General features: G+C 38.6%; 1 protein-coding gene across 4 annotated transcripts, besides 8 other annotated features; it reads left to right on the top strand.

Moving 5' to 3' along the window:
* Positions 174 to 899: an enhancer, noted in NCBI's record as "OCT4-NANOG-H3K27ac hESC enhancer chr17:33760881-33761606 (GRCh37/hg19 assembly coordinates)". NCBI's record gives its function as "activates a minimal SCP1, AML or CMV promoter by ChIP-STARR-seq in naive H9 embryonic stem cells {active_cell/tissue: H9 hESC(naive)}" and the evidence as "EXISTENCE:reporter gene assay evidence [ECO:0000049][PMID:30033119]".
* Positions 850 to 1,089: an enhancer, noted in NCBI's record as "active region_12069". NCBI's record gives its function as "activates an Ori minimal core promoter by ATAC-STARR-seq in GM12878 lymphoblastoid cells {active_cell/tissue: GM12878}" and the evidence as "EXISTENCE:reporter gene assay evidence [ECO:0000049][PMID:35858748]".
* Positions 1,058 to 2,257: an enhancer, noted in NCBI's record as "CDK7 strongly-dependent group 2 enhancer chr17:33759523-33760722 (GRCh37/hg19 assembly coordinates)". NCBI's record gives its function as "activates an origin of replication core promoter dependent on BRD2, BRD4, P300/CBP, MED14 and CDK7 cofactors, with strong dependence on CDK7, by STARR-seq in HCT116 cells {active_cell/tissue: HCT116}" and the evidence as "EXISTENCE:reporter gene assay evidence [ECO:0000049][PMID:35650434]".
* Positions 1,058 to 2,351: a biological region, named in NCBI's record as "CDK7 strongly-dependent group 2 enhancer GRCh37_chr17:33759523-33760722".
* Positions 1,587 to 23,839, top strand: SLFN12 (schlafen family member 12). 4 transcript variants are annotated; one of them, XM_024450822.2, is made up of 6 exons: positions 1,587 to 1,856; positions 2,504 to 2,573; positions 4,148 to 4,290; positions 11,693 to 12,771; positions 14,380 to 14,487; positions 22,834 to 23,839. In XM_024450822.2, exons 4-6 carry the CDS (start codon positions 11,733 to 11,735, stop codon positions 23,421 to 23,423), a joined length of 1,737 nt encoding a protein of 578 aa, XP_024306590.1. In that variant the 5' UTR covers positions 1,587 to 1,856; positions 2,504 to 2,573; positions 4,148 to 4,290; positions 11,693 to 11,732; the 3' UTR covers positions 23,424 to 23,839. The 4 variants fall into 4 exon arrangements, with proteins under 4 accessions (XP_024306590.1, XP_005258052.1, NP_001275938.1 ...); XM_005257995.6 differs by lacking the exon at positions 4,148 to 4,290; NM_001289009.2 differs by lacking the exons at positions 2,504 to 2,573; positions 4,148 to 4,290.
* Positions 1,626 to 2,351: an enhancer, noted in NCBI's record as "OCT4-NANOG-H3K27ac-H3K4me1 hESC enhancer chr17:33759429-33760154 (GRCh37/hg19 assembly coordinates)". NCBI's record gives its function as "activates a minimal SCP1, AML or CMV promoter by ChIP-STARR-seq in primed H9 embryonic stem cells {active_cell/tissue: H9 hESC(primed)}" and the evidence as "EXISTENCE:reporter gene assay evidence [ECO:0000049][PMID:30033119]".
* Positions 1,910 to 2,129: an enhancer, noted in NCBI's record as "active region_12068". NCBI's record gives its function as "activates an Ori minimal core promoter by ATAC-STARR-seq in GM12878 lymphoblastoid cells {active_cell/tissue: GM12878}" and the evidence as "EXISTENCE:reporter gene assay evidence [ECO:0000049][PMID:35858748]".
* Positions 5,683 to 5,742: an enhancer, noted in NCBI's record as "active region_12067". NCBI's record gives its function as "activates an Ori minimal core promoter by ATAC-STARR-seq in GM12878 lymphoblastoid cells {active_cell/tissue: GM12878}" and the evidence as "EXISTENCE:reporter gene assay evidence [ECO:0000049][PMID:35858748]".
* Positions 17,904 to 17,953: a silencer, noted in NCBI's record as "silent region_8436". NCBI's record gives its function as "represses an Ori minimal core promoter by ATAC-STARR-seq in GM12878 lymphoblastoid cells {active_cell/tissue: GM12878}" and the evidence as "EXISTENCE:reporter gene assay evidence [ECO:0000049][PMID:35858748]".
* Positions 23,840 to 24,096: the final 257 nt, after the last annotated feature.

Genomic DNA, 24,096 nt, shown 5'->3' with positions numbered 1-24,096 from the left:
CCCCAGTCCACCACAGTAGTTGGGACTACCAAGGCGCGCACGACTATGCCCTCTCACCATATTGCCCTGGCTGGTCTCCAACTCCTGAGCTCAGGCAATCCACCCACTTCGGCCTCCCAAAGTGCTGGGATTATAGACGTGAGCCACCGCACCCGGCCTGCGCTAGCTTTTTTTCTTTGTTTCTTTCTCTTTCTTTCTTTCTTTTTCTTTCTCTCTCTCTCTCTTCTTTCTTTTTTTCTTTCCCTCCCTCCCTCCCTTCCTTTCTCTCTTCTCTCCCTTCCTTCCTTCCTTCCTTCCTTCCTTCCTTTCCTTCCTTCCTTCCTCTTTCTTTCTTTCTTTCTTTCTTTCTTTCCCTTCCTTCCTTCCTTCCTTCCTTCCTTCCTTCCTTCCTTCCTTTCTCTCTCTCTCTCTTTCTTTCTTTCTTTCTTCTTTCCTTTTTTTTCCCCGAGACAGAGTTTTGCTCTTGTTGCCCAGGCTGCAGTGCAGTGGCATGATCTCAGCACACTGCAACCTCCGCTTCCCAGGTTCAACTGATTCTCCTGCCTCTGCCTCCCTAGTAGCTGGGATTACAGGGGTCTGCCACCACGCCCGGCTAATTTTTTTTGTATTTTTAGTGGAGACGGGGGTTTCACTACGTTGGCTGGGCTGGTCTCGAACTCTTGACTTCAGGTGATCCACCCACCTCGGCCTCCCAAAGTCCTGGAATTATGGGCATGAGCCACTGCTCCCAGCCGGCACTAGCATTTTCTAAGCCAATGACTGAAGAATAGTTTTTTAACTTCGGTGAGACTGTATCCATAGAGCTGGCGTCTGGATCAGATGAGAAGAAGAAAAGCGCAGCTATGTGCTTTCAATATATACGTTATTTAATGTGAATAGGTACTCTTCCTAGGTACCTTAAGATTTTAGAATAGGCAGTAGGCAGTTAATGCAGTCCAGAGTGGGGTAGGTGGAGCTTGCGGAGAAGGAGCAACTCAGACTTGCACATTCCCCTGTGATGAGTCATCGTGGCCTGTGTGCATTTCAAAAGCTATGTACTGAGACACCAATTCTTAGACAAGTTAGCAGGAAAAACATGTATTACCATAATTATCATAATAAGGGGGCTAAAGGAAAGCAAAGTGGCAGGAGGACTGTATCCGGCCAGACTAGCCTTTGGAGCATCCCAATAAAGGAATCTCCCAAATGGCCCCAAGATGCTCCCTACACTGCCAGGGGTAGGTATTTGAATCTGTCTGTCCTGGAGCAATCCGCTCCTTGCACCTTTGTCCTCTCCTGTCCATCCACAGCTGCCCTGGCCTGGTTCCTGGGGGCAACCGTGCTTTTAAGCAAGGGGGCAGCAGTGCTGCTCTGGGAATGCGAGTACAGCTGGAAAGGTTGAGTCACCCCTTTAGGGGCATGGTAAGAATGCCTGGTATTTCTTCAATTTTGATGAACCAAAATAGTGACAATTGCCCAAAGGCGCAGAGTCGATAATAAAGAGTGCGGACACTTCCGGAGCGCCAGCTGCCCAATAGAAATGCAGGCCACGCTGGGGAAGTGTGGAGCCGCAGCCCAGGATGGGGAGGGCCGGAAAACAGAAAAGGATTCGCGTTCTTTTTACTCTGTGGAGAGTGAGCCCGCGGACTGTAGCCTGGGCCTCGCCAAGTTCCTTTGTTCTTTGTTTTCTTTAAATTACCTTTTTTCTTTTTGTCTTAAAAAATACACATGGGTGAAAAAGAAACGAGAGCTCCCTAGAGATCACTCAGAGCTGTTTTCGTGGGTTTTTAACTTCCAGTTGCTCAAGGGTCCACGCTGGCATCTGGGGTGTGCTCGCACCTGCGAAGAATCCAGCTTCTAGGGAGCACCGCGAGCTGGTAAGTTGGTCCTGCTCCATCGCTAAACCTTCCAGCCTTAGTTTTTCATTTCTGGGGAGTCTGCTGGCTCGGGAGGAGGTGGGGCACTGGTAACACAACCCCACCACTCCCGGGAAGATCCCCGCACCCCCATCCCGGTCTGCTTTCTCTCCCTTCTGAAGCAGGAGAATAAGGGTCTGGAGGAAAATCCCAACTTTCCACAAACTTCCTTTGTAGCCCCTCCTTTTCTACATGGCAGATGAAAAACTGAAAATACCTCTGATTGGTCCCCTCCCGCAACCAATCAGACTGGTCTCCAGGGCCAAGTCTTCATGTGCATAGGAATGTAACTTTGTAACTTCGCTTTCTGCGTCCAATCAGATGTTTTCATAGGGCATAACTTTGTAACTTCACTTCAGCCTCCCATTGATCGCTTTCTGCAACCATTCAGACTGATCTCGGGCTCCTATTTCATTTACATTGTGTGCACACCAAGTAACCAGTGGGAAAACTTTAGAGGGTACTTAAACCCCAGAAAATTCTGAAACCGGGCTCTTGAGCCGCTATCCTCGGGCCTGCTCCCACCCTGTGGAGTGCACTTTCGTTTTCAATAAATCTCTGCTTTTGTTGCTTCATTCTTTCCTTGCTTTGTTTGTGTGTTTGTCCAGTTCTTTGTTCAACACGCCAAGAACCTGGACACTCTTCACTGGTAACATATTTTGGCAAGCCAACCAGGAGGTAAGCCCAAAGTCTGGGATTTATTTTTCTCCTTTCCCTTTTCCTTTCTGCTCCATACAGGTAAATCTCTCTCTTTCTCTTTTCCTTTCCAACGTGGGATCCTTGGTGGGTAGCGCCTAGACACGGAGGCGACTGCAGGTTTCTGGCCGGGGGCTACTCTCCAGTGCTGCCTTGAAGGCCAAGGAGTGAATGGGGATAGTTGCCCTGCCCAGAAGCGGGAAGGGCTCTTTTCTGTCTTTTCTGGTTGTGGTCCCTGATCCCTATGTGTGACGCAGCTTCTCCAGGGCGAACTCACACGTGTTTCAGGTGACTTAAACCTTCTTTCCTTATGTTAAATTCTTCCCTTCCCCTACTCTACTGGCTAAGGTTAAAAGAAACCCACCTAGCCTCCATTTCATATCATTAAAGTTCATGACTATCACTCTAGTGGAATGGGAACCATGGGAAAGCATGGCCTTATCAAATTATAAGGATGCTAGAAGTCAAGGCCTTCATCCAGAGACAAAAGGAAAGCTCACAGTAGGCCATCCCCTCTGGAGGGAAAACATGTAAAGTGGCACTGGTGACCACCTAAGGTCAGAGACGTCTGACGCTCTAAGATTGGACCCTAAAGGGGGATGCTCTGGAGGATCCTTTGGACCTCAGCCTCTCCAAGGGGGTTCCTTTGGTAGAGGTTCTTAGGCCTAGTACTAAGCCCTCCTTAGAATTTTCTCTTCCGGTTGCAGTAGTGTTTGGCCTCAATATTGTTTGGAATCTGGAGTTTGCTGTTGAATGGTAAAGTGGGATGGAGTTGCATGTATGCAGGCTCTTGTGCTGCTGTTCTAAGCAGGGTTGTGTCGGGTTAAAGTGTGATGTTCTCCTTTGGTGCTGTTTGGCCTCAGCGTTCTTTGAAGTGCGAGGAAGTTTGACCTTTAAAAATCAAACTGCCATGGAAACCGCTGACTTATAAATTGCTAAAGTTGTTTATAACCAATGTTTGGTTTCTCAAATCCATATTCCTGGGAAGACAATCAAAGCTTCAGGTACATTTGGCTACCCGATGGGCCATTTAAACATTTACAAAGGGATTTTATTCAATGTCACTTTCAATGCATGTTTTCTTGTTGTATAAAAGCTTTTCCCATGATTATGCTACAGTGTATTTTCACCAGGTAAAGAAAGCTTTTTATGGTTCACTGAGAACAATCAACCCCTTCACAACCTAGAACCCATAGGATAGATGTTCTCAGAACATCTACTGTAAAGGCCATAGTTACACAACAGACTTTAAATTCTTTTGTGAAAGTTATGATAGAATTGGCTGAACAGAGAAGTATCTGTGCAGCTGCTGGCACTTAGAGTCTATGGAGAAATACATTAAATGAAGATTAAGAGATTCAGTTGTAGGGGATTAATGAGGAGATTGTTTACTTAAGTTGGTAGATTCTTTATTTAGTTCATTATTTGATCTATTTAATTTTAACTGGTTTGGTTTATGGGAACCCTGGGCAAGGAGCATCCTCCAAACTCTTGGTATTATCCTCCCAATAGTCATCATAATAATAGGCTCCCTGGTGCACTGTATTCTCTCAAAGGTTTTCGATGTTTGCATGCAGCCATCTCTAGAATGTCAAATGGTCTCTCTTCAACTGGAATGATGAGAAGTGAAACAAATATGCGACCATGAGGACACTGTAACCTATGGATGGTGTGCTGAGACTGGAAACCCAAAATGATGGTAACTGAGAGCGGCGCTAAGGCCTTACGTTTTGGTTACATTCTCACCTAAGTGAGAACCTGAACAAAAAGGGGGAATTTTAAAAAACAAAATTGTGAAAGGCCAGTGTTTTGGACTGAGCTCATGGCCCCAACAGACCAAACCAAACCAAAATGGAGTTGCTCATTCTAAGACTTTAAGGAAACACATAGATCCTAGAACAGACCAAGTTTTTGTTTTTCTCCTGCAAACAGAATGTTTCAGTGAGCAGGACACCCTCCACCGGTAACACTTTCCTGTCTCTGTAGCAACTTCTAATAAACTGCAGGCTGTTGAGGACTTCAGAATGGTGGACTTGGAAGCTATAGGTCGGGTGGAACTTTTGCTCCTGCATGGGCTGGGGAGCAGCCCAGAAAATTTAAAGCATTACCAGAAAATTTAAAGAGCTGTGGGGCCAGTGAGCCAGGGATCTGCAGTGTTCAAGCAGAGCTAGAGAGGCAGGGAGGGCAGAGTGCTCTATGGTCAGGCCAGGCTTGGTGGGTGTCCAGACCTCCCAGGGTTATCCATCCTCCTGGAGTCCTGAACATGCAGGGAGTTGGGGAATAGGTTCTTTAGGTGAAATGCGACCAGGCACTGATGAACTGCATTGCTAGATCCTAAAAGAAAAACCAAGCACCCTCATGCCCTGCTGGTTTATTATCTAGAAGGCGGGAAGGATGAGAGCAGTGCTGTCCTGAACTAAATGCAAAGTGACATCCTAGGAGGGCAAAGAGTGTTGCATGATTTTTGTTTCCCAGGAGGTAGCTCTTACAACTTCTGTCCCACCCTGTGGGCAGTTCCTACTAACCTGCTGTTCTGACATAACTCTAAGGAGATCTGAATGCTGTCTCCTTTCCCATTAAAGATAGCCAACAACAAAGCCTAAATAGTGAGTTCAGGTCTGATAGAATTTCCCCTATAGTCAAAAGTATAAAGGATTTCAGTGGAAACATCTAACCTGTAAACCTAGACCCAAGGTTTAAGGGAGGCCAGTAAGTTTTAGGCCCTAGGGATTTGGTAAGCTCAATCCCCAGCTCATTTTTTAAGGGTTTTGTCCCAGATGTATGCTTGAAGGCAGTGATTTTCAACTATGGAAAGTTTTACACAGCTGCAGATGTTGGACTGGGGTGACCGGGATCCCAGGCTAGTTCACAAGCGCTGGGTCCTCTATAAGGTGGCTCAACTGCAGCTCCCATGGGTTCCAAGTTTCTCAGTGGTATGAGCACCCTCCTTAATCAATCTGAGGGTGAGATGTGATTTCTGTCCCCTTCTGTGTATGGTGGGTTAGGCAAAAAAGTTTACACAGAGCCCAGCCTGATGTAGACAGTGCAGAAAGGTGGGCTAAGAGGAAAGGGGACAAGACTCTAGTTAGAGAGGCTGCAAAAAAGAATCGGGGAGCAGAGCAGAGGCTGCTTGGTGAGGCATTACCAGAAAATTGTAGGGCTGGGGCTGTGCGCCTGGGTAGAAGTGGAACTGATTCTCCTGCAGCCTTTGTGGGTAGAGATGGAGAATCTCTTCTGTCTGGTCAACAGGGAAGGTGGACTTGCCTTTGGGGCAGCCTCATGTGCAAGAAATATGAAGAAATTGGGTCTAAAGAACACTAATTGTGCTATAATACTAAGGAGAAAGCTCAGCATGGCAGAGATATACATCTTCCTCTGCTTTCTAGCATAATTATGCCACATTGAGACTACTATTGAGTTTTAAATTTAAACTTCAATGATTGTGCTTACCTGGCTTCACTCTTGTTCAACTACCAGGAGTCAGGTCCTCCCCACTTAGGTTCTCTTTTTTTGGAATCTCCCTGGGTCATATGCAAATGCTTTCTTCTATGGACCCAGGCCCAGGGAGCCTATTTGAATGAATGCTAGGTCCAATATCTCTTAGAAGGCAGCCTCTCTTTGTTCTCTCTGAGTTTTCAGGAAACACTGAGGGAAAGATGCTGCTTTCTAATAGCTTTTAGACCACATCCTCTTACCCCCAAAAATTACAGGGGAAAAGTTCTGTAATCCCCACTAAGATGCTTTCTAACAGCTTTTAGACCACATCCTCTTCCCCGCAAAAGGTACAGGCCAAAGTTCTGTAATCCCCACTAAGATGCTTTCCAGTAGCTTTTATACCATATCCTCTTCCCCCCAAAAGGTTCAAGGCAAAGTGCTGTAATCACCACTAAGATAAATTTGCTAGCGATAATTCTGATACAATTATTTGGGAAAGTATTTGATAATATATATCAAAATCTTTGAAGTTTTTGTCACTTGATACAGTAATTTAACTTTTACAAACTTCTGTCTCTCTCTGTGTGTACATATATACACTCTATATACTTACATAATTTCAGCTTAATTATGTACCTAAGGCACAGGTTCAAATATAACCTTATGTTTCACCATGAACCTTTATTTCCACAGATTCAGACTCTTTCTTCTCTTACATAATTTTTCCCCTTCAAGGTTCCATTTCTTATATCCTGAAATCTGGCTTCTTTTCTGTCTACATGTTCTGGCCTCCCATACTCGATTTAACCATCTTTGTATATATCTGAACCGTATCTGTATATATAATTGAAGTGCTTTGCCAGGGCACTCTTAGACTCAATGAAAATTAGACTGTGTGATTAGCATACCCAAACATTGAAATAACTGAGTCAAGATTCTAGTATAATTATATCGAATGATTGAAAGCAACTTCAATGTTCAGTTGTAAGGTAATAGTTAAATAATGGTACATTAATACCATGTATGAAATTATGCAGTTAATAAGGTTTTTAAAGAATAGCTAATTATTATTTTTGCAAAACTTGTTGTATATACTATATTGATACATGGAAAAGCAAGATTCAAATAGTATATTTTCGTTTTGGGCAGTATGGCCAACCATGACCAACTCTCCCACTGCAAAAAGGTCCTCATGTTGGGTAAAATGTGAAATAATAGAAATACAGCTCACATCCTCAACTCATTTTGTGAAGCTATTGATTGCATTGTCTGTCAACAAGAATAGGAGAAAGGGACATCATGGGTGCAAAATCTTAAAAATATTATCGAATTGCGTTTAATATAAAGAAATGGTGACAGGAATGATGTCAGAAAAATAGTGGATTAGGAAGCTTCAACTCTGTTTCTCCATGGAAACATCAAAAGCAACCCAAAACTGGCTGAACTAACAACAAAGATCTGTTGCAACTAAATGAATGCCCAATCAAGGAAAAGCAGCATTCAAAACTGTAGGAAATTTCATGGTGTTTTTACTCACCCTTGCCCAAGTTTTTGCCCTGCATGGCAAGGTCTTAGTCTTGAGGAGGCAGCATCACTGCTCCTAGTTTCCTCCCTGGAATTGGTGGGGCATAGTAAAACTTATTTTCAATGTTGTAACCTGTCTGGGGACTGCCTGAAGGATTCATTTCTGTATCCCCTAACTCAGATCTCAGGTGAGGAGAAGTGACAGCCACTGCTCAGGAAAGCTGCAAGAAGACTATAGACCCCCAGATGTCTTAGGCAAGAGATTATAGCTAGAGACATAGAATAACCATCTAAGGCTCAGAAGATGAGCTGGGGTGAGATTCTTTGGGAAATTAAGACATTCAAAAGCAGGCATGTATGTAGAGGAATCAAGAAAGCCCCGCTCAATCCAGGCAGGATAAATGCTCAGAAAAGACCTGAGAAGACCTTAAGCTTTTTCCTTGAGCTGATCCCTAAGATCAGAGTATACTTAGCCCATCACTGAAGGTTTGCCTTGCCATAGCATTTGTCTGCAAAGACTGTGAGAGATCGCTGTTTTTTCAAATGTCCAATTTCCAACAAAAATTCATAAAGCATACACACAACAGAAAAATATGACCTATTCAAAAGAAGAAAGTAAATTGGCAGAACACATCTCTGAGGAAGGCCAGACATCAGACATATTAGACAAAGATTTTAAAATAACGTTCTTGATATCCACATGCAGAAAATGAAGTTAGACCCTCATCTCACACCAAATACAAAAATCAACTCAACATGGATTAAAGACTTAGATGTAATAGCTGAAATTATAAAACTACTAGAAGAAAATATATGAAAAAGATCCAAGACATTGGCCTGGGCAGTGATGTTTTGGATGTCATCCCAATGGCGGACAGGCAATGAAAGCAAATGTAGACAAATGGGATTACATCAAACCAAAAAGCTTCTGCACAGTAAAGGAAAAAATCAACAGAGTAAAAGAATAGGCTACAGAATGAAAGAAAACATTTGTAAACCATACATCTGATAAGAGGTTAATATCCAAAATATATAAGAAACCCAAACAACTCAATAGTAAGAAAAAAAAACAGATTAAAAAATGGGCAAAGGATCTGAATAGACATTTCTCAAGAGAAGACATTCTAATGGACAACAGATATATGAAATAATGCTCAACATTACTAATCATCAGGAAAATGCAAATTAAAACCACAATGAGAAATCACCTCACACATGTTAAAATGGCTATTATAAAAAAGACAAGAGATAAAAAGAGATGGTGTAGAGAAAAGAGAACCATTGCACACTATTGGTAGGAATTTAAACTAGCTTAGCCATTATGGAAAATAGTATGGAGGTTTCTGAAAAAAAAAAAAAAAAAAAAAAAAAAGAAAAGAAAAGAAAAGAAAAAGAACCACCATATGATTCAGCAACCTCACTCCTGGATAAATATCCAGAGGGAATGAAATCAGTCTATCAAAGAGATATCTGTACTCTCATGTCTATTGCAGCATTATTCACAATAGGCAAGATATGGAAGCAACCTAAGTGTTCACCAACAGATGAATGGATAAAGAAAAAGTGGTACATATAGATAATAAAATACTAATTAGCCTTAAGAAAAAGAAGGAAATCCTGTCATTTTTGATAACATGGATGAATCTGGAGGACTTTATGTTAAGTGAAATAAGCCAAGTAGAGACAGACAAATACTGCATGATTTCACTTATTTGTAGAATCTATCAAAGTTAAACTCATAGAAGTATAGAGTAGAATAGTGGTTACTGGGGGAAGATGGGGTTTGGGGAAATGTTGGTTAAAGGTTACAAAATGTCAGTTAGATAGGAGGAATAAGTTCAAGAGCTCTATTGTACAATATGATTACTATAGTTAACAATATGTTGTATTCTTTATTATGTATTTATTTATTTGGAGACAGGGTCTTTCTCTGTTGCCCAAGCTAGAGTGCAGTGCCATGATCATCGCTTACTGCAGCCTTGGACTCCTGGATTCAAGTGATCCTCCCACCTCAGCCTTTTAAGTAGCTGAGACCATAGGCACAAACCACTGTGCCAAGCCAATTCTTATTTTATTTTACTTTTCTGTAGAGATGTGGTCTTGTTTTGTTGTCTAGGCTGGTCTTGAACTCTTGGCTTCAAGTGATCCTCCCACTTCAGTCTCCCAAACTGCTTGGATTATAGGCATGAGCCACTGTGCTGGGCCTGTATTCTTGAAAGTTGCTAAAATAGTAGCAATGTTCACCACAAAAAATGATAAGTATGTGAAGTAATGTATATGGTAGTTGGCTCAACATAGCCATTCCACAATATATACAAGTTTCAAAAAAACACATTGTACATGATCAATATATAGGATTTTATTTATAAATTAATAAAATAAAAAACAGGCACTGTCTTAAGTATCTTCAAAGAGCTAAGAGAAAACATGGACAAAGAACTAAAGGATTCAACCCCAACTGTCCAAATGGTTTGGGGCTCTAATGTTAACATTGTTTACATGTGATCAGGAATTTATATGGACACAGGTGGTATCCACAACCTTAGCTGAGTATCTGCATGATATTGGTCCAGCTGTGGACAGGAATATTCTGACCCCCTTTACATTCCTTTTCTAGTATAGCAATTACTACCTATGATGGACTTTATTCTCAATTGTCTCTATGCCACTCGGAAAACCTACACTTCTTAAGTTACACTTATTAACTTAACTTAAAAGTTACACTTAAGTTACACTTAAAAGTTAAACTTAAGTCACACTTCTTAACTTAAAAGTTACACTTAAATTCCACTTTTAAAAAAGTTAAACTTAAGTCATACTTCTTAACTTAAAAGTTACACATAAATTACACTTTTTTTAAAAAGTTAAACTTGTCACACTTCTTAACTTAAAAGTTACACTTAAATTACACTTTAAAAAAAAGTTAAACTTAAGTCACACTTCTTAACTTAAAAGTTACACTTGTTACATTTAAAAATAGTTAAACTTAAGTCACACTTCTTAACTTAAAAAGTTACACTTAAGTTACACTTAAAAAAAAGTTAAACTTAAGTTACACTTCTTAACTTAAAAGTTTCCATTTAGAGCAAAGCAGTGATCCTAATAGATTTTAAGGGAACAGAGCTAATGGATTAGGGATACATAGACTAAAGCACAATGTCTTAGTTTGTTTAGGCCGCCATAACAAAATACCGCAAGCTGGGTGGCTTACAAATAACAGAAATTTATGACTCACAGTTCTGGAGGCTGGGAAGTTTAAGATTAAGGTGCCAGCACTGTTGGATTCTGGTGAGGGCCCTTTTCCTGTCGCAGACTGCCTACTTATTGCTGTGTTCTCACATAGTGGAAGGGATGAGCTAGTGTTCCGGGGTCCCTTTTAGGAGAGTACTAATCTCATTCATGAGGGCTTCACCCTCATAACCTGATCACTTCCCAAAAACCTCATCACCTCAGGAGTTATAATTTCAACATATGAATTTTGGGGGAACACAAACATTCAAACCATAGCACAGGTGTTTTGTATATAAGAATTTTCCTTATTGAAAATATGTGGATATTAGATTTAAAAAGGGCACAATGACTTAGCCCACTTTGCTTAAGATCAATGGCCAAAATTTATAAATCTATTTCATTCTTATAAGAAGGAAAAATAATTAACATGACATGTTGGATGTCATTAGACCTTAACGGGAAATCTTCCAAAAGATTTATACCCATAAATGGAGATAATTAAGGTAAAAGCTGAAATTATTAAAATAAAAAGAAAAGTAGAAATAATATGTATAACTAAAGCCTGGTTCACTGAGAAGATAAAAACATAGACTCACTCCAGGGGTTGTTTAAGAAAAGGAGAGAGAAAACAGGTTGTACAATATTAGGGACTAGAAAGGAGAAAAAAGGCGGATAAAGAGATTACATAATTAGAATACATTATATAGAACTATAGTAACAAATTTGAAAATTCAGTAGGAGTATAAATTATTGCGGTCTTAGCTCAAAATTTGCCAGTCTCTTCATATCCATATACTTACCAGTCTAGTAGAATATATACAGCACAGGATTTTTTTGCATTTGCCTCATAATACAGAATTTGCTATCTTTCTAGTTCAGGTCCTATTCTAATGGCTCTGTCTATTTTACAGAAAAGAATTTCTGCTTGGACACTGCATAGCTGCTGGGAAAATGAACATCAGTGTTGATTTGGAAACGAATTATGCCGAGTTGGTTCTAGATGTGGGAAGAGTCACTCTTGGAGAGAACAGTAGGAAAAAAATGAAGGATTGTAAACTGAGAAAAAAGCAGAATGAAAGTGTCTCACGAGCTATGTGTGCTCTGCTCAATTCTGGAGGGGGAGTGATCAAGGCTGAAATTGAGAATGAAGACTATAGTTATACAAAAGATGGAATAGGACTAGATTTGGAAAATTCTTTTAGTAACATTCTGTTATTTGTTCCTGAGTACTTAGACTTCATGCAGAATGGTAACTACTTTCTGATTTTTGTGAAGTCATGGAGCTTGAACACCTCTGGTCTGCGGATTACCACCTTGAGCTCCAATTTGTACAAAAGAGATATAACATCTGCAAAAGTCATGAATGCCACTGCTGCACTGGAGTTCCTCAAAGACATGAAAAAGACTAGAGGGAGATTGTATTTAAGACCAGAATTGCTGGCAAAGAGGCCCTGTGTTGATATACAAGAAGAAAATAACATGAAGGCCTTGGCCGGGGTTTTTTTTGATAGAACAGAACTTGATCGGAAAGAAAAATTGACCTTTACTGAATCCACACATGTTGAAATTAAAAACTTCTCGACAGAAAAGTTGTTACAACGAATTAAAGAGATTCTCCCTCAATATGTTTCTGCATTTGCAAATACTGATGGAGGATATTTGTTCATTGGTTTAAATGAAGATAAAGAAATAATTGGCTTTAAAGCAGAGATGAGTGACCTCGATGACTTAGAAAGAGAAATCGAAAAGTCCATTAGGAAGATGCCTGTGCATCACTTCTGTATGGAGAAGAAGAAGATAAATTATTCATGCAAATTCCTTGGAGTATATGATAAAGGAAGTCTTTGTGGATATGTCTGTGCACTCAGAGTGGAGCGCTTCTGCTGTGCAGTGTTTGCTAAAGAGCCTGATTCCTGGCATGTGAAAGATAACCGTGTGATGCAGTTGACCAGGAAGGAATGGATCCAGTTCATGGTGGAGGCTGAACCAAGTTGAGAGCGGGGGATTCGCAACAGGAATGCATTTGGCTTGGGTGGCAGGGAGGTTTTCTCTATGGGATCTGGGGCAAGATCAATAGTCCTCAAATTTCAGCACCTAAACTATTAATCCCTGGTGGATACAATCAATAGTTCCCTGCCTCGGCCAGGCGCGGTGGCTCACGTCTGTATTCCCAGCACTTTGGGAGGCCAAGGCGGGCGGATCACGAGGTCAGGAGATAGAGACCATCCCTGGCTAAGATGGTGAAACCCCGTCTCTACTAAAAATACAAAAAATTAGCTGGGTGTGATGGCACGTGCCTGTAGTCCCAGCTACTCAGGAGGCTGAGGCAGGAGAATCGGTTGAAGCCAGGTGGCGGAGGTTGCAGTGGGCGGAGATTGCGCCACTGCACTCCAGCCTGGGCAACAGAGCGAGACTCCATCTCAAAAAAAAAAAAAAAAAAAAAAAGTTCCCTGCCTCTTGTTTTCTTCTATACCCTTAGAAGAAGATAGATATTTCATAAAATAAGCACATCATCTACTTTTAGTAGCCCTACCTGGTGCAAAAACCCAATTAAACCTGGAAGTTTCTTCCCTACCACGTCTATACTAGTTTTGAAGGAAACCCCGTTTAATCCTTTTCCTTTTTGTTTCTGAGCTCTATTTCAGTAAGTAACCATTGCTTTCTTTCAGGAACATTTGCCTCTTTTACTTACTTGCTCCTTCATGCTTCTTGTCCCCTTTCTATTTATTTATTTATTTATTTATTTATTTATTTATTTATTTATTTATTTTGAGACGGAGTCTTGCTCTGTCACCCAGGCTGGAGTGCAATGGCAGGATCTCGGCTTACTGCAACCTCCGCCTCCTGGATTCAAGCGATTCTCCTGCCTCAGCCTTCCGAGTAGCTGGGATTACAGGTGCCCGCCACCACGCCCAGCTAAATTTTTGTATTTTTAGTAGAGACGGAGTTTCACCATGTTGGCCAGGCTGGTCTCGAACTCTTGACCTCAGGCAATTCACCCGCCTCGGCCTCCCAAAGTGCTGGGATTACAGGCGTGAGCCACCATGCCTGGCGTCCCTTTCTATTTATTTCCTATAAAACCGCTTCCTTTTTCTTCTCACATTTGTGAGCCAAGTAGTAGCCCTAATTTGTACTAGTAAGGAAGGAATAATGCTGGTATTTTCTCTGCGTTTGGGAAAAGAAAGCCTCAAATGAAATTGGACCAGTACTAGCAATTGGACCAGTACTAGCAGCTTATAAAATGTCTGAAAATGTAAGCTTCTTCCTCAGAATCTGCACAAAAGTCAGCTTTCCTTCACTAGCCATCACGTCTCATTTTAACTGCTTTAAAAATAAACCCAATTATATGGTAATGTATTAAATTACTATTAATGCATTTTTACTGTTAATTTTCATTTGAAATATAGTGTGTCAGTGGCATCAAAAGTTAATTTTGCAATTTGTATCTGACCTAAGAATCTAACCACAATATCTAACATTAATTTTTTTTTGGAAAACAGAATCAGTTACAAGTAGACTTTTAATATATAATACTATGCATTAGTTAGTTGGGGTCTCCCTTCTGCGAAATTAAGAATGTGATATTTTTGTTTTTAAGAATTTTCCAGTTCATATGAAGAGGTGATCTCTCAAATAAATACGTCATTACCTGCTCCCCACAGTTGGCCTCTTTTGGAATGGCAACGGCAGAGACATCACTGTCCAGGTAATTTCATTCTGGCTTCTTCGGATTTGTTAGTGTGACTGTAGTCAAACCTCTTTCTCTTCAAACCAGCTCAGTCTTGAAATTTGCTCTGAAAGCACATTCTTGTGTTTATGAGAATTCTTTGGTGTTTTAAGTCATTGAATCTGTCAAATCCTATTTCTTTATATTTGGGTTAGAATTTTCTTGGTGCAATACAAACTCGTTTACTTGAAAGTAAGAGCAACCCAAGTCAGTTTAGTTTAAACAAACAAAAAAAGAAAGCATATATATCATGTCACTGAGCAGTCTAGATTGAGGCCCACCTTCAGGCATAGCTATGTTCAGTTACTGAAGAAACGCCATCAGTACTCAGGATCTCTGATTGATCTATCTGTTTTTGTTGTTGTTGTTGATGATGGGCAATTGAGTTATTTCCTGCTTTCTGTGACATGAACAGTGTTACCTTGAACATTCTTAGTCGGTCTTCTAGTGCATATGTGCAAGATTTTCTCCTGGGTGCCTAAGTAGGAGTAGAATTGTTGGCTCAGGAGGTGTGTGAATATTCAAGTAATAAGATAATGCCAAATTGTTTTGAAAGTAGATAGGTCATGTTACTCCCATCAGCAATATATTAGAAATGCCACATCTTCTCCAGTTGTCAAATTTTTCTTATTTATGGTTGTCCTTCTCTTGACCTCCTTCTTCTCAATCAAATGTGTATAAAATGGTATGTCTTTGTGATGTGCATTTCCCTGGTTATTGATTGGGTTGAGCATCTCTCCATATACTTACTGGCCATATATATTTCATCTTCTGTGCAGTGTCTATTTTGTCTTTGACCATTTTTCTAATAAGCTTTGTCTTTTTCTTATTGATTTATAGGAGTAATTTAGAGATTCTAGAATAAAATCCTCTTTTAGTCATAGGTATTAACGACTACCAAATGTTTTCTCCAAGCTGGTGGCTTGCATTTTCTCTTTTCTTAAGGTATACTCTCATAAGTAGTAGTTTTAAATTTTAATGTAGGCAAAACTATCATTTAAAATGTTGCGGTTTAGTGCTCTTTGTGCCTTGCATAAGAGATCCTTCTATACACTAGGATTATAAAGATATTTCTTTTAATTTTCTCCTAAAAATTTTAAAGTTTTGCACTCAACATTTAACATGTAAATACACAATCCAGAGGTGGGCGGATCACTTGAGGCCAAGAGAACAGCCTGGCCAACATGGTGAAGCCGTGTCTCTACTAAAATACAAAAATTAGCCAGGTGTGGTGGTGCACACCTGCAGACCCAGCTACTCAGGAGACTGAGGCACAAGAATCATTTGAATCCAGGAGGCGGAGCTTGCAGTGGGCTGAGATCACACCACTGTACTCCAGCCCAGGCAACAGCGTGAGACCTTGTCTCAGTAAGTAACAAACAAACAAACAAACAAATAAATAAATACACAATCCATCTCAATAGACAGTAATGTAGCATGCTATTTCATTTTATTCCATGTGGATAACAACTTTCCCAGCCGCAATACTGAAAAGTCTCACTTTCACCATGATCTGCCATGCCACCTTCATCATATTACTAAGTACAATTCACCTTTGAACAAAAGGTGCAGTCGAAAATCGGTGTATAACTTTTGACTTTCCAAAAAGTTAACTACTAATAGCTTACTTTTGACCCAAAGCCTTACCAATAACGTAGTCAATTAACACATATTTTGTGTGTATCATATACTATATTCTTACAATAAGTATCATATACTATATTCTTACAATAAAGTAAGCTAGAGAAAAGAAAATGTTATTGAGAAAGTCATAAGGAAGAGGAAATATATTTTCTATAAATTAGGTGTAAATGGATCATTTAGAGGTCTTCGTACTCATTGCCTTCACGTTGTGTAGGCTGAGGAAGAGAAGGGTTGGTCTTGCTATCTTGGGGTGGCAGAGGTGGAAGAAGATCTTGGCGTAAGTGGACCCATGCAATTCAAACCCATGTTGTTCAAGGGTCAACTGTATATCTATAGATAATCCTCTTTCTAGAATCTCTATTATGTTTCCTTGATCAAATTGTCTGTCCCTGCCACTGTAATGTTATACTAAGTATCGATATCTGGTAGGGTAAGCCCTTTAGTTTTTCTTTGAGAGTGTCTAGGCAATTTTTAATCATTTAATCTTCTATACACACTTTAGAATCTGCTTAAATGCCAAAAAAACTTTTGGGATTTTGATTTGCAGTTACAGTGCATCTCTAGATAGATTTGGGAAGACATGGCATATTTATATCAGTAAGTTGTATCCTTGAGTATAGGAAATCTTTTTACTTATTTATATCTTCTTTAATGCCTTTATAGTTTCATAAATTTCTGTGTACACATTTTGTACATCTTTTATTACACTTATGTCTAGGTTCCTTTTATTTTTGTTGTTGTAAAGATATTTTTTTTAAAAGTTCCATTTTCTTGTTTATTGCTAATGTGTAGAAATGCAGTTGATTTTTACATACTGAGTTTATATAAGGCCACATTGTTAGGTTTCCTTATTATTTTAAATAATCTGTCCATAGATTATTTACATTTTGTATAAACAAATATGCAGATCATAAAATGTTTTGTCTTTTCCTTTCCAATCTTTCTGCCTTTAATGTCTTTTTTTCTTGTCCTAATGAACTGAAGAAAACTTTTAGACAATTCTTAATGCAAATAGTCTTAGTTCAGATTTTAAAGAGAGTGTGTCTATGGCTTTCCCATTTAAATTGAGGTTTGCCCAACATGGCACATGTATACCTATGTAACAAACCTGTGCATTGTGCACATGTACCCCAGAACTTAAAGTATAATAATAAAAAAAAGAAATTGAGGTTTGCCTTAGGTACTTTGAATATACCATTATCAGGCTAAGGAAGTTTAATGATATTTCTAGTTTACTAAATGTTTTTTCTTTTTTTATCATGGATGAATACTGAATTTTATCAAACACATTTTCTACTCCTGTTGACATGATTAAATGTTTTTAATATGTTGATTGGCAAATGATGTTTAATATTTTCTATTAAGCCTTTTTTGCATTCCTGGAACAAACTCAGTTCGGTCTTGCAGTATTATCTTTTTTATGCATTTTTATTCAGCTGCTAATACTTAATTTAGAATTTCTGTATCTAAATCCATGAGTGACAAGGTCTAAGAATAGTTTTCTCTCTTTCTTTGTCTAGTATTTGTATTAAAATTGTGCTGAACTCAGAATGAGTTGGGGATTATTTCCTCTTTTCCTATCCTTTGAAAAAATTTATATAAGATTAGAATGATATGCTTGAAATTGTGGTGGAATTTGCCTGTAAAATGGTTTGTCTTCCTTTTGTGGGAAGACTGTTAGTTCTTTTTTCAATCAGGAACTGGCTCTGTCACCCAGGCTGAAGTGTAGCGGTGTGATCATGGCTCACTGCAGCTTCAAGCTCTTGGGCTCAAGTGATCCAACTGCCTCAGCCTATCAGGGCTCTAGGATTACAGGCTTGAGCCACTGTGCCTGACATATTTCTGGTTTTTTAATAAAAGGGTTGCCTACTCTTTCTGTTTCCTTCGGTGTTAATTTTGGTAAGATATTTTTAAGGAATCCTAAATTCAATAGCTGGCATCTCAGTATTAGTCTGACTTATATTTCAGATCCTTATTTCAGGCTATTTTTATTTTCTTGTGAGAACAAAGCAGATTGGTTTCAAAAATTTATTTACTTTGTGTAGTAAGTACTTTTAAAATGTATGCTTTTTCTAGGTATCTTATATGTTAATTTTTAAAATTTTTATTTCACTAGTTTTTGGGGAACAAGTGGTTTATGGTTACATGAATAAGTTCTTTAGTGGTGACTTCTGAGATTTTGGTGCAGCTATCACCTGAGCAATGTACACTGTACCCAGTGTGTAGTCTTCTATCCCTCATTCCCCTTCCACCCTTCCCCTTGAGTCCCCAAAGTCCTTTGTATCATTCTTAGTCTTTGTGTCCTCATGGCCTAGCTCCCACTTATGAGTGAGAACATACAATATTTGGTTTTCCATTCCTGAGTTACTTCAGTTAGAATAATGGTTCCCACCCCATTCAGGTTGCTGTGAATGCCATTATTTCATTCCTTTTTATGACTGATAGCATTCCATGGTGTATATATACCACATTTTCTTTATCCACTTGATGGCTGATGGGCATTTAGGCTGGTTCCATATTTTTGGAATTGCAAATTGTACTGCTATAAATGTGTGTGCAAACATCTTTCTCATGTAATGACTTATTTTCCTCTCAGTAGATACCCAGTAGTGGGATTGCTGGAGCAAATGGTAGTTCTACTTTTAATTCCCTAATGAATCTCCACACATTTTTCCACAGTGGTTGTAATAGTTTACATTCACACCAGCAGTATAAAAGAATTCCCTTTTCAGTGCATACTTGCCAACATCTATTATTTTTTGACTTTTAATTATGGCCATTCTTGCAGGTGTAAGATGGTCTCATTGTGGACTTAATTTTCATTTCCATGATCATTAGTGATGTTGAGCATATTTTCATGTTCATTGGCCATTTGTATATCTTCTTTTGAGAATTGTCTATTTATATCCTTTGCCCACTTTTTGATGGGATTCTTTGTTTTTTTCTTGCTGATTTGTTTGAGTTCCTCATAGATTCTGGATATCAGTCATTTGTCAGATGCATAGGTTGCAAATATTTTCTCCCACTCTGTGGATTGTCTTTTTACTCTGCTATTTCTTTTGCTGTGCAGAAGCCTTTTAGTTTAGTTACTTCTCATCTATTTATTTTTGTTTTTGTTACATTTGCTTTTGGGTTCTTGGTTATGAACTCTTTGCCTAAGCCAACGTCTAGAATTGTTTTTCTGATGTTATCTTGTAGAATTTTTATGGTTTCAGGTCTTAGATTTAAGTCTTTGATTCCTGTTGGGTTGGTTTTTGTATAAGGTGAGAGATGAGGATCTGGTTTTATTCTTCTACATGTGGCTTGCCGATTATCCCAGCACCATTTGTTGCATGGGGTGTCCTTTCCCCACTTTGTTTTTGCTTGTTTTGTTGAAGATCCAATTGAACTGTAAGCATTAGACTTTCTTTCAGTGTTCTCTATTCTATTCCACTGGTCTACATGCCTATTTTTATATCAGAACCATGCTGTTTTGGTAACTATAGCTTTGTAGCATAATTTGAAGTCAGGTAATGTGATGCCTCCAGATTTGTTCTTTTTGCTTAGTCTTGCTTTTGCTATGTGGACTCTTTTTTGGTGCCATATAAATTTTAGGGTTATTTTTTCTAGTTCTGCGAAGAATGATGATGGTATTTTGATGGGAATTGCATTGATGTAGATTGCTTTTGTCAGTATGGTCATTTTCACAATATTGATTCTACCTATCCATGAACATGGGATGTGTTTCCATTTGTTTGTTTCATCTATGATTTCTTTCAGCAGTGTTTTGTGGTTTTCCTTGTAGAGATCTTTCACCTCCTTGTCTAGGTATATTGCTAAGTATTTTATTTTATTTTGCAGCTGTTGTCGGAGGGATTGAGGTTTTGATTTGATTCTCAGCTTGGTCACTCTTGCTGTATAGCAGTACTAATTTGTGTACATTGGTTTTGTATCCTGAAACTTAATGGAATTCATTTATCAAATCTAGAAGCTTTTTGGATGAGTCTTTAGGGTTTTCTAGGTATACAGTCATTTTTCTGTGAAAAATGACATGGGAATTTTGATAGGGTTTTCGTTGAATCTGTAGATCACTTTGGGTAGTGTGGACATTTTAAAAATATGATTTTTTCAATCCATGAACACAAGCTATCTTTCCATTTATTTGTGTCTTTTCCAATTTCCTTCATCAGCATTTTATAGATATCAGTATAGAAATCTTTCATCTCCTTGATAACATTTATTATCAAGTATTTTTTGTAGCTATTGTAAATGGGAGTGTTTTCTTGATTTCTTTATAGGATAATTTGTTGTTAGTGTATGGAAATGCTACTGATTTTTGTATTCTGAAAATTTACTGAATTCTTTTATTTGTTCTGATCATTTTTTGGTGGCATCTTTAAGGTTTTCTATATATAAGTTCACATTGTGGGCAAACCGTGACAATTTAATTTCTTATTTTCCAGTTTGGATTCTTTTTATTTCTTTTTTCTTCCCTAATTGCTCTGGCTAGGACTTCCATATTGGATAGAAGTGGTGAAATGGGCATCCTTGTTTTGTTCCTGATCTTAGATGAAAAGCTTTCAATGTTTCACCATTGAGCATGGAGTTAGCTCTAGGTTTTTTATATATGGTCTTTGCTGTGGTGAGGTACATTCCTTCTATACCTAGTTGGTTAAGAGGTTTTTTTAAATTACAGAATGTTGAATTTTGTAAAATGCTTTTTCTGTATCCGTTAATATGAGCATATAGTTTTGCCCTTCATTTTATTAATGTGGTATATCACAATTATTGATTTTCACATGTTATACTATGCTTGCATCCCAAGGATAAATCCCACTTATTATGATGAATGATCTTTTTTTTTCTTTTTTTTTTTTTTTGAGACATGGTTTCACTCTTGTTACCCAGGTTGGAGTGCAATGGCGCTATCTTGGCACCCTGCAACCTCCACCTCCCGGGTTCAAGCGATTCTCTTACTTCAGCCTCCCGAGTAGCTGGGATTACAGGTGCCTGCCACCATTTCTGGCTAATTTTCTGTATTTTTAGTAGAGACGGGGTGTCACCATGTTGGCCAGGTTGGTCTTGCACCCCTGACCTCAGGTGATCCACCTGCCTTGGCCTCCCAAAGTGCTGGGATTACAGGCGTGAGCCACTACACTGGGCCGAATGATCCTTTTAATGTGCTGTTGAATTTGGTTTGCTAGCATTTTGTTGAGAATTTTTGCATCTAGTTTCAACAGTGATATTGGCCTGTAACTTTCTTTTTTTTTGTAGTGTCCTTGACTGACTTCATGATCAGGGTAATGTTGACCTCATGAAATGAGTTTGGAAGTATTTCCTCCTCTTCAATTTTTTTGGAAGAGTCTGAGAAGGATTGGTATACTCTTGTATTTGTGAGTGATATCTTTAATCAACTTTGAAAAAACTATAATTGTTTATCTCTTCAAATATTGCTTATCTTATTTTTCTCTCCTTTCTCTTTGTGGGACTTATAAATTTGCTAGACCTTTTGACAGTTTCGGATATATCTCTTATCTTCTGTTTTTACCTTTTTTTTTTTTATTGAGTTTGAGTTCGGACTTTTGCTACCATCCTGTCTTCCTATTGACTAGTCCTGTTTTCTGCTATGCTCTGTCTGCTGTTAAATATTATCAAATAAGTTCTTATTACCACCTACTGTATTTTTCAGTTAAGGAATGCCCACACAATTTTTATCCCTCAATTTTAGTTTTTCTAAGGCTGTAAGAGAATAAGGACATCTTCATCTTTTCATCTATTTTATTATTATTTTTTGTTTTTAAATATATTACAGTTAAAGTCCCTCTTTGATAACTACAATATCTGAAGCACTTGTCAGTCTTTTTCTCTGATCTGATTTTTCTCCTGTTTTCTAGTAATTCATTCTGATTTTTATTCTGTCTCGTAATTTTTTATTGTATCATGGATTACAAATTGTAGAGACTTTGATAGATATTACATTTCTCCAAAAAGGGCTATATTTACTTCTGACAGGTAGTTAGAGTACCACCCATTGCTTTTATTCTTTTGAAGTTTTTTTATCCTTTTCTAGGTATAATAGTTTTTAATTTTGCCGTTACTACTAGGTCATGGCTTTTCTATTGCTGTAATGTCGCTGGTGTTTACCAAGATCCCTCCACTCTTTTGGGACTGGAATTCCAGTCTGTGTTTCCTGAGCACCATGAGGCTGAAGAAACTTACATTCAGCTCTTTAGTCTCCCAGTTGATATTTTCTTCTGTGTTTCCAGCATCTGACCTGTATTAGCCAATGAGTTGAGGGAAATTTGTATGTAGACTTTGGCTTCTTCTCTGCAGCTTCATTTTCTCTGAGATTTTACTTCTCATATTCCAGCTCTTCTTACTTCTTTTCCTCAGCCTAATAAGACTGATGATTTCTCCTTGGGTTCTATTTACCCATGCCATGATATAGAAAATCTACTTAGGGAAAAAGCAGGGGTGAATGTGAAGCTACTTTCTGTGTTTCACCTCTATCAAAGACTGTGGCACTTCAAATACTGCTTTTATTGGTGCTTTCTAGTTCTTTAAATTATTGTTTGAATATATTTTATACAACTTTTACAGTGTTTTTGATGGGAAGATTGGTTTTTTACAAGCTACTTTGCCATGGCTTAAATGGGAACTTCCTAGTGTTTTATAATTTATTATTATTATTTCCTTATTCAGGGCTATCAGGAAGGATAACGTATACTCCAGAAAACCTTTGCAGAAAACTGTTCTTACAACATGAAGGACTTAAGCAATTAATATGTGAAGAAATGGACTCTGTCAGAAAGGGCTCACTGATCTTCTCTAGGAGCTGGTCTGTGGATCTGGGCTTGCAAGAGAACCACAAAGTCCTCTGTGATGCTCTTCTGATTTCCCAGGACAGTCCTCCAGTCCTATACACCTTCCACATGGTACAGGATGAGGAGTTTAAAGGCTATTCTACACAAACTGCCCTAACCTTAAAGCAGAAGCTGGCAAAAATTGGTGGTTACACTAAAAAAGTGTGTGTCATGACAAAGATCTTCTACTTGAGCCCTGAAGGCATGACAAGCTGCCAGTATGATTTAAGGTCGCAAGTAATTTACCCTGAATCCTACTATTTTACAAGAAGGAAATACTTGCTGAAAGCCCTTTTTAAAGCCTTAAAGAGACTCAAGTCTCTGAGAGACCAGTTTTCCTTTGCAGAAAATCTATACCAGATAATCGGTATAGATTGCTTTCAGAAGAATGATAAAAAGATGTTTAAATCTTGTCGAAGGCTCACCTGATGGAAAATGGACTGGGCTACTGAGATATTTTTCATTATATATTTGATAACATTCTCTAATTCTGTGAAAATATTTCTTTGAAAACTTTGCAAGTTAAGCAACTTAATGTGATGTTGGATAATTGGGTTTTGTCTATTTTCACTTCTCCCTAAATAATCTTCACAGATATTGTTTGAGGGATATTAGGAAAATTAATTTGTTAACTCGTCTGTGCACAGTATTATTTACTCTGTCTGTAGTTCCTGAATAAATTTTCTTCCATGCTTGAACTGGGAAAATTGCAACACTTTTATTCTTAATGACAACAGTGAAAATCTCCCAGCATATACCTAGAAAACAATTATAACTTACAAAAGATTATCCTTGATGAAACTCAGAATTTCCACAGTGGGAATGAATAAGAAGGCAAAACTCATTTTCTCAAAACAAAACTCCAGGAATTCTCTGGATCTTCTTGAGCTACTTTCACACTATTTACTTGGAAGGGTTGTGGATTTCCTAACTGGTCAGCTAGCACCTTTAAAGAACTCACAAGAATGGTTACTTTATTTTTCTACAAGCAGTTCTGAATAAAGAAGCGTGAGATGACAAAATATGGAAAATCCTCTCTAACTAAGATTTGAAGGAAAGCAGCCAAGGTATAAGTAGAAACTCTTTTAGACAACGAGAGTTT

Source organism: Homo sapiens, chromosome 17 (assembly GCF_000001405.40).
Source record: "Homo sapiens chromosome 17, GRCh38.p14 Primary Assembly".
Lineage (NCBI taxonomy): Eukaryota > Metazoa > Chordata > Mammalia > Primates > Hominidae > Homo > Homo sapiens.
The sequence above is the reverse complement of the archived record's forward strand: the minus strand, read 5'-3'. Positions and strand labels throughout refer to the sequence as shown.